We start from the raw sequence: 10413 nt of genomic DNA on the forward strand, positions 1-10413 counted from the left end.
TTTTTTTTTTTTGGTGACTAAGTGCCACCTGAACCATGAGTACTTCTAGTAATTTTAAAGAAAAATATGAATTACTACTTTTTTTTTTGTTTTTTTTTTGAGACGGAGTCTCGCTTTGTCACCAGGCTGGAGTGCAGTGGCACGATCTCGGCTCACTGCATCCTCCACCTCCCAGGTTCAAGCAATTCTCTGCCTCAGCCTCCTGAGTAGGAGGGATTACAGGCGCCCACACCAGGCCCGGCTAATTTTTTGTACTTTTAGTAGAGATAGGGTTTCACCATCTTGGCCAGTCTGGTCTTGAACTCCTGACCTCGTAATCCACCCGCCTCGGCCTCCCAAAGTGCTGGGATTACAGGTGTGAGCCACAAATTACTTCATTTTAACAGGAATTCGATCACTTGGTTCTCACGCCCCTCTTCTCCACAGCCAAGCTCTCCAAATTGAGACCAGGGCCTAGTCAAACCTTGGGTTTTGGGATCTGGTACCAGTCATGTCTAGCCATGAGCCATTCTCATTTATTGTTTTAAGGTGCATGAGATCTCAGTTCCTTGTTGGAGTCACAGGGCCTGCGCTGGATGGGGAGCCTATAAATGAAGGGAGGAAGTTTAAGACCTCTTTAATCTATTGGAGGAGCCTCGGGAATGGCTCCTAGGCCACAGGGTCGCAGATGGAAATGGCCCCTCTAACTTGAAGAATGTTTGCTTCCTATTTCAGTGACCTTGCACTTGATTTTTTTCCCCCACGTATTTTATCTTTATTTTTTTTGAGAGTCTTGCTCTGTCACCCAGGCTGGAGTACAGTGGCGTGATCTTGGCTCACTGCAACCTCCACCTCCCAGGTTCAAGCGATTCTCATTCCTTAGCCTCCCTAGTAGCTGGGATTACAGGTGCGTGCCACCACACCCGACTAATTTTTGTATTTTTAGTAGAGACGGGATTTCACTGTGTTTGCCAGGCTGGTCTTGAACTTCGGGCTTCAAGCAATCTGCCCGCTTTGGCCTCCCAAAGTGCTGGGATTACAGGCATGAGCCACTGTGCCTGGCCCCCAACGTATTTTATTCTGAAAAATTTCAAACCCAGAGAAAAGTTGAATCAATAGTATAAGGAACACTCATATCCTTCACCTATTATTTTGCAACCTTCTGTCTCTTTTTGCTGAACTGTTTGGAAGTAAATTGTAGAAAGTTAACGTACGCATATGCTGAGCTATTTTTACTTCTGAGCCAAGTGTGTGTGTTTTTTCCATCACCACTTCTCTTACTCCATTTGGGTGTCCTACAATTTAATTCTGATACCATCTACGTGGAGTTAGTGTGTCAGATCCCACAAGTTAAGGGCTCAGTCCCACAAGAAGGCCCCCACTTCAGATGCCAGCCGTAAGTCCATGGTTGTCACTGGTACTTGTGACCAGTAAATTCAGAGGGTTTCCACAATCCCCTTCTCACATTTGATAATTGACTGGAACCATTCACACAACTCAGGAAAGCACTTTATTCACAATTACAGGTTTATTATAAAGGATAAAACTCAGGAACAGCCAAATGGGAGAGATGCCCAGGGCAAGGTATGGGGAAGGGAGATGGAGCTCTGTGCCTTCTCTGGGAGCACCACTCTCCCAGCACCTTACTATGTCACCAACTTAAGTCTCTGAGCCCCATCATTTAGGGTGTTTTTATAGAGATTCCATTACACGTGATTGATTAAATTTTTAGCCATTGGTGATTAACAGTCCTCACTTCCTCACCCATCCCCAGAGGTTGGGAGGTGGAGCTGAAAATTCTAAGCTTCTAATCAAAGTTTCATCTTTCTAGCAACCAGTCCCCATCCTGAAGCTGTCTAGGGGCCCTGCCAAGAGTCCCTCATTTGAACAAAAGATCCTACTATCACTTTTAACTCAAGAAATTAGGTTTTAGGAGCTCTGTGCCAGGAACCAGGGACAAAGACCAAGTATCTCTGATGCCACTTAGGCATACATGTTTACACACATACATACATGTGTATACATCTATACAATTTTTTGGATGAATATTTGAAAGTAAACTGCAGGCATATTTCATTTTAAGTACTTCAATATGTATTTCCTAGGAATGGAAAGATACTTTAACATTTTTTTAATGGAAAATAATCATATTTTGCAAAACAAAATTATGAGTGACATTATTTTACATTTTACCAATCTCTTTAATAGAACATGGCTGGATTCTCCTGTTTGCTTCTGCAGATAATCTTTTGTTTGGGTTGAGGTATGTGAAGAAAATGTGGCCTCACAGAGATGTGTAGTTGGAAAAGGGAGGAATACTTTATTATTTTTTTTTTCTGAGACAGTTTCGCTTTTGTTGCCCAGGCACCATCTGGGCTCACTGCAACCTCCACCTCCCGGGTTCAAGCGATTCTCATACCTCAGCCTGCAAAGTAGGTGAGATTACAGGCGTATGGCACCATGCCCGGCTAATTTTTGTATTTTTAGTAGAGACAGGGTTTCACCATGTTGGCTAGACTGATCTCGAATTCCTGAGCTTAAGTGATCTGCCTGCCTCAGCCACTCAAAGTGCTGGGATTACAGGCATGAGCCACTGTGCCTGGCACAGGAATACTTTAATAGCCTTTCCAGGTAATTGTGGGTATCCTTTGATAACAACCACAAAATTTGACAAGTGGTAGTTTCTTAAAAGTTGTAGTATGTAATTTCCCCTTGAAAACTTGAATTTCATCATTGACAACACATGCTGTCAGTTGTTTTTTTTTGAAGTGATAGGCTCAGTTTGTTTGTTTCTGAGAAATTGTCTGCCAAATCCACAGGTCTGAACAACGACAATTTGTCAATCTTGGAAGTTAAAATGGTGCTCCGTGCAAAGTGCCGCTAGTTCAGTTCACACTCCAAACAGTTCTGCCGGTGCTTTTCCTTGAGACTGCCTTGGAACCTCAATGTGCATTTCCCAAGAGTAAAGACATTCTTCTACCTAGCCTCAATATTATCACAACTTAAAACATCAATAATTTTATCAACTATTCAGTCCGTAGTAAGTTTCCCCAGTTCCCAAAAATGTTCATTTCTTCTCCCAATGCAGTGTCTTGATGAAAATTCATGCTGTTCATTTGGTTATCAGTCTCTTTTAATCTAGAATTATTCCCTACTATTTTGTTTTCCACGACATTGACCTTTTGTAAGAGTCCAGGCCACTTGTAGTATGTCCCATATTCTAGATTTGTCTGTTTCCTCATGGCTCAGTTCAGGTTAAATGTCTTTTGCAAGAATGCTACATAGGAGATGCTGTACCTACCGCACCACACCAGAAGGTACATCAGGCCAGGTTGTTTCACAACTGGTCATGTGAATTTTGATCACTAAGTTATTTAAAATGGTGATTGCCCGTTCTTTTTTTTTTTTTTTTTTTTTTTTTTGAGACAGAGTCTTGCTCTGTCTCCCAGGCTGGAGTGCGGTGGTGCGATCTCGGCTCACTGCAAGCTCCGCCTCCTGGGTTCACGCCATTCTCCTGCCTCAGCCTCCTGAGTAGCTGGGACTACAGGCGCCCACCACCACACCCGGCTACTTTTTTTGTATTTTTAGTAGAGACGGGGTTTCACCATGTTAGCCAGGATGGTCTTGATCTCCTGACCTCGTGATCCGCCCACCTCGGCCTCCCAAAGTGCTGGGATTACAGGTGTGAGCCACCGTGCCCGGCCTTGCCCGTTCTATTTTATTTTATTTATTATCATTATTTTGTGAGACAGAGTTTCACTCTGTCACCCAGGCTGAAGTGCAGTATTGTGATCTCGGCTAACTGTACCGTCTGCCTCCTGGGTTCAAGTGATTCATGTGCCTCAGCCTCCCGAGTAGCTGGGATGACAGGCGTGCACTACCATGCTTGGCTAAATTTTGGCATTTTTAGTAGAGATGGGGTTTTGCCATGTTGACCAGGCTGGTCTTGAACTCCTGGCCTCAAGTGATCCACCTGCCTCGGCCTGCCGAAGTGCTGGGATTACAGGCGTGAGCTACTGTGCCCCCGGCCACAAATAAAAATTTTTTACTCTCAAGGAGCATTCAGTCTATTTCATTCTTTGAAAAGCATGTAAGTTTTGGGAGCCTAGCATGGAAGGGAGTGATGGTTCCAGTGCGTTGGTAGTGGAGACTGCCTTTTGGTCATCTTGGGCTTCTCATGCCATTGAATTAGTAGGGAAATAAGGAGGTGATTGTGGTGTTTGAGTTCATTGATCTTGATTGTCTGAGGGAAATTGGACTGTTTGTTCCTACACAGTGGTGGCAAGGAGAGTGATGTTTGGAAACCAGGGGGTTTACTGGTGACTGTGCTCCCTTAACCAGTTGTCTTGAAGGAAAAACTTCAACCCGTAAATAGAAGACCTCCAAAGACTCACTGTAAGAATGAAGGTTTTGTACTTTTCATCTGGTAAAGAACCCTGGCCCAGCAAAGGTGCTGGAGGAGGCTAACTGGAACTCGGAATGGGCAGAGGGCAAAGGCAGCTAAGATGACCAATACAGACCTCACAGAAGTCAGGATTGTCACAACAGTGTTTTATGTCATTTAAGTGTTTCTCCTCTCTTTTCTCTGAAATAAGTTAAATGAATAACACCAATGCTGGCTAAAGTTTTAGGCTGTGGAGTATGAGAACAACTTGTATTGAAGTAGTAGTTGGTGGAACATTGATCCTGCCCCGTATTGGGAACTCAATCTTTCCACCAGGTGAAGGACAAGAGATGATGCTGAAGGCAAAAGGCTCGGATGGTGCCATATATGTATATATTTTATCTGTTCCCCTAGATATTCCATCTATTCCCCTAGATCCAGTCTTACCCTGCGCTCTGTCCTGGGAGGCTGGGATGTTTGGTTGGGTTTGGTTCATGGTGAAAGGAGAGTTTGGTGGGGTAGGGTCACCTTAGGTTGGCTGTGTTTCTTAAAAACTCCTCTCAAGGTGACTTCCTCTATGTGAGTTTCTTATGGGTTCCAGCAGCTACTCGGTCCCTACAACTTTCAACTGTGGGATGTTTAGTTCCTCTGTTACTACTGGTTACCCTTTTGTTTTCCTAAGCCTTCACTCACACCTTTGTAAATAATATATTTTAATAAATTTTACTCCTTGAATTGGCATAATTCGAGTGTGTCTTTTCAGGTTGGGAGCTTGACTAATAATGGACAAATAAGATTAGCAGAGACAACTATTACGGATTAGGATTAAAAACCTCTGTTACCTAGTTCTGTAGATTAAAGTCAAAGATGAATGTCTTCAAACTTTGTGCAAAAGAACTTCACTTGGTTATTTTTAATGTGTTTGGTCTTTCTTGCCCTATGAGGCCTCTAAAAACAGTCATGGCAGTGACCAGAAACAACTGTTAAAATCATCAACTAGCAAAAAAATCCAAGAAAGAAGGGATCTTCACAGTTTGACCCCCCGATTTAATAGGCAAACTTGTATCTATTCCAAGGCTACATGATCTCTTTGTGTTGTCTCACTACCAAAGATGATCAAGATTATCAGTAGGAACATGAGGTTATTGGCAATAACTAGGGCTACTGCCTATCTCCACGCAGGGATGATTTCCAGTGGCTGCTGTTCCACTGCATTCTCCTTGACAGAGTGGGTATTCATTCCTAGCACGTTCAACCCCAAGCAAAACAAGGTCAGAGTTGGATGGGGAGATTTACAAGTTTTTGAGGACTTGGGCTGACAAACTTGAAGAATGGCCAGAGCAAACTCTCGAGGCAGGTACACAAGTTGGAAATCAGACTTCTAGTCACAAGTGGCAGGCCTGGAAACCTTGACAAGTCATCTCAAGGGATGATGTCGACCTTGGCCGTAGACAGGTCTGCATTCTTGATGTCAACCTTGGCCATAGGTCTGCATTCTTGTGGTCTGCCCTTGGCCATAGACGGGTCTGCATTCTTCTTGCTGTCTGCCCCAGTGGTGCAAAAGTCTTAGAGGGGGAAGAACGTATTGAAAGCTAAAGGCTTTGACAATTTATGTGTTGGTGATAAGCTGGTCTTTGTTAGCACTGTCCTAGTGAGGCTGAAGGAATAAGTTTCTCTGCTGAACTTTCACATAGGTTGTAGCTGTGGCAGGGCTCATCAGGGTTGGATTCTCAGATCTCTTAATGGAAAGCTTTGATATATTTCATGTGTGTTTTTAAATAGCATTCAATGTATGTTTAAATATAGGAGTGTCCTGTGAGTGGCTCCCGGGGAGCAGCCGGAAGTGTTGTACTCGGCTGTCTATTGTGTGTGGGAGAGTCTTTCTGTTGACTGTGGATCTCATATTTATGAGGACTGCATGCAAGGATTGCCTCTCGAGGTCTCGTTTATAGATTGATATCAGCCAGGTATTTTTCAGAATTCTGTTCTGCCATTCCACTGCCCTCCTGATTCTGGGAGATGTGGGCATTGAAAAGACTTTGTAGATTTCCTTTATAATTTGGCCCGGATGTGGTTGGCTCCTGTCACTATTATTGAACAAAGGCTCTCAAATAGTCTTCTTGATATAACAATAGTTGTAACAGCTTTGGTGTTTAGAGATTACTTCTATTCAGCTGGGAAGCCTCCCAACAATAGGCAAAACATGAAAATGTCTTCATTTGTGTAAGTCAACTTCAATTATTTATAGATGTCCCCTACAAAGGAGAGTGAGTTGCCTTCTCTGTGGACTTGATAGATAGGAAAGGTCTGACAATTCTGCCCGTCTACACTGGAAAAGCGCCTTATCACTTATACACTGCCAAGCGCCTTATGACCAGCGTGCCATTGCAAAGATCACGCAACCAGCCAGGAAGAAGATCCTTGGGCGCCACCTAGTGTCCATCTCGGGAATATCAAAGGCGACTGCATTGCTTCTCAAATTGTGGTTATTTCCAATGGGTTGTGGATCACTACTTTTGTTAAATACAAATAAATGATTAGAAAAGCGTATAAAAATACAAAATACAAGTCTGAATGTTTTATTATTAGATTTAGCAATAATATTTTAATAAATCAAAAAACGTGAAGAAAAAGTAAAAACTGCACAATGTTCATTATCAGTATAAACAAAACTAAACAAAGAGTGAAATGGTGGAAATAGCCATTGAAATACCCACATTAAATACCTAGACTAGTTTTGAACAACATGATATATATCAATATTTAGTTTTTAATGTGATAAATGAACTTGTTTCTTGTTAAAACTTAACTAGATTGAGTTGATGACAGTCACAGGGGATAGTGTCTATCTAAACTGTTTCTATGTTTTGTTTTAATAATATGTATAGTAAATAAACCAGCTCACAGGGAAATATTATCAAGGGTGGGGGAAGATACTTTATTTTATTTTTTGAAACAAGGTCTCACTCTGTCACCCAGGCTGGAGTACAGTGGCTTGGTCATAGCTCACTATAGTCTTGAACTCCTAGGCTCAAGTGATTCCCCCACCTCAGCCTCCCAAGTAGCTGGAACTACAGATGCATGCCATCATTGCTTTTTTTTTTTTTGACTTTTTGTAGAGATGGGGGTCTTGCTATGTTACCTGGACAGGTTTTGAGCTCCTGGGCTCAAGCAATTCCCCAGCCTTGGCCTCCCAAAGCGTTAGGATTACAGGTGTGAGCCACCATGCTCAACCAGGATATTAATTTTTAACTTTTATATAAAATAAAGTGAGGCTATATTTTCTAGTATTTTTCTTCAATCCTTCATAAATAGCCAACTCTAACAATTGGCTGAGCATGGCCAATTGGAATGCCATCAGTGAAGTATTTCCAAAAGCACTATTCTAAACACAATCCAAACTTGATTTCTTCAACAGTGGGATTGTGAGTTTACCAGGAACATGAAGAAAGGTTATCTGGCAGTGTTAGTGCACATTTGGTAGCGTTTGTTAGTGTTAGTGTTAGTGCAGGCTAATACTCACTATGTGCATGGAGGCTTCATAGGTCCAGTCGGCGGGCGTGGACTTCAAATAATCTCCACCTCCCGGGTTCAAGCGATTCTCCTGCCTCATCCTCCAGAGTAGCTGGGATTACAGGTGTGTGCCACCTTGCCTGGCTAATTTTTGTATTTTTAGTAGAGATGGGGTTTCGCCATGTCGGCCAGGCTGGTCTCAAACTCCTGGGCTCAAGGGATCCACCTGCCTCAGCCTCCCAAAGTGCTGGGATTACAGGCGTGAGTCACCGCGCCTGGCCAAGTTCTTTTTGTTTTGAAATAACTTCAGACTTTAAAGAAAAGTGTAGAAACAGTACAAAGGATTTCTGTAAGTACTTCACTCAAATTCCTACTTCACTCAAATTGTTAATATCTTATGTAACCACAGTACAATTATCAAATGCAGGAAACTAACATTGATACAATTATCTAATGGTACCAATTTTACAACTGTCCCACCAGTATCCTCATTTTTGGTCTCAGATCCAATCCAGAATCTCCCATTGTGTGTTTTTTTTTTTTTTTTTTTTTTTTTTTTTGAGATGGAGTCTCACTCTGTCGCCCAGGCTGGAGTGAAATGGCAGGATCTCGGCTCACTGCAACCTCCACCTCCAGTTTTCAAGAAATTCTCCTGCCTCAGCCTCCTGAGTAGCTGGGATTACAGGCACTCGCCAATGTGCTCAGCTAATTTTTTGTATTTTTAGTAGAGACGCGGTTTCACCATGTTGGCCAGGCTGGTCTTGAACTCCTGACCTTGTGATCTGCCTGCCTCAGCTTCCCAAAGTGCTGGGATTACAGGCGTGAGCCACTGCGCCCAGCCCTCCATTGTGTGTGTGTGTGTGTGTGTGTGTGTTTTGTCATGTCTCTGTTTCCTCTAAATTGAAGTACTTACTCTTTCTCGACCTTGATATTTTGGAATCATACATGTCATTTATTTTGTAGGATGTCTCTGAGTTTAGGTTGTCTGATGTATGCTGATTAAATTCAGGTTATGCATTTTTGATAGAGATACCATAGAAACGATGTAGGCTTCTCAGTACATCTTATCAGGAGGTACATGATGTTTATTTGTCCTATTACTGGTGACAACTTTGATAGTTTTGCCAAGGTGGTGTCTGCAAGATTTCTCTGGTGTAGTTTTTCAAGGGGAAAGGAGGAACACTGCGATGAGGAACAAACTTTGGTAGAAGGAGAATTTCTGCCCTGCCTCTGGTATTCAAGGTACATGCAAGTGAAGAAAAAACACCAGCCTCAATGAAGGCTGCAGGATCCACGTCCTCAGGGGAGTAAGTTTCAGTTAAAGCAGGAAAGTAAAGGGAACATTCAGAGAAGAAGTTGAGAATACTAGATAATTTGCCTGTGCAGAATCTGATGAAAGAGGGTACGGTGGAAAAAGTGGGAGATTGGGTTAGTTAGCAGGGATCCAGGGTAGTGTGAGGGGTGAGAGACCAAATGACAGATGCCCCAGGAGCTTGGAACACTGGTGGGATTGAGGTGAAAGGGATTATAGGGCTTGATTTCATTAGGCTGATGTCTCTTAATGTTGTTCCTTAAAGAGTGAGAGCAGCGGCATCTATCTTACCTGGAAGCTCATTAGAAATGTAGAATTCAGGCCCTACCTCAGATTTCCTGAAGCAGAATCTATGATTTTAACAAGAACCCCAGGTAATTTGTGGGCATCTTAAAGTTTGAAAAGCACTGTCTTCAGAAAACTGTGAGCAAACAGTTTAAGAAGCAACTGTGCAGCTGGCAGGTTGCTGATGTCAATAGCCTATGCGCCGGTGCTGGGGGTATAGCACCAGTGAGTCAAGCAGTCTGTGGCGCTTGCTTGCTTTCTTTTTTTCTGTTCTTGAGACAGGGTCTCACTCTGGTGCCCAGGTTGGAGTGCAGTGACGCGTTCTTGGCTCACTGCAACCTCTGCTTCCTGGGTTCAAACGATTCTCCTGCGTCAGTCTCCCTAGTAGCTGGGACTATAGGCATGCGCCACCATGCCTGGCTAATTTTGGCATTTTTAGTAGAGATGGGGTTTCACCATGTTGACCAGGCTAGTCTCAAACTCCTGACCTCGGGTGATCTGCCCACCTCGGCCTCCCAAAGCGCTGGGATTACAGGCATGAGCCACCGCGCCCAGCCTGCGACAGCTTTCTGATTCTGTGTTCTTGGCTACAGGAGCAGTAGCTTTCTGATTCTGCATTGCCTGTTGATGAGAGGTAGCAGCCTCCTTGGTGGTTCAGTTGAACAGTGTGGTTTGGCAGTCATTCTTGGAAGCTCAGTCTTTCTTTTAGCCCTTGTAATGATTCTGTGAACTCTATGTACCCACTAACAAATCTCTTTCTATTTTAACCAACTGGATTGGATTCTCTTGTCTGTAACTAAGAACTTGGACAAGAGCGGGTAAGTCACAGCAATATCTCATGGTCAGATGAAGGTGGAAGCAACCTTGGTGTGTGCCCTGGTTCACTGTGGGGTCACTAACGGGACCTCAGACAAAGGAATTTTGAGAGATAGGATGTAGC

This window comes from Homo sapiens, chromosome 5 (genome assembly GCF_000001405.40).
Source record: "Homo sapiens chromosome 5, GRCh38.p14 Primary Assembly".
In the NCBI taxonomy this organism is placed as follows: domain Eukaryota; kingdom Metazoa; phylum Chordata; class Mammalia; order Primates; family Hominidae; genus Homo; species Homo sapiens.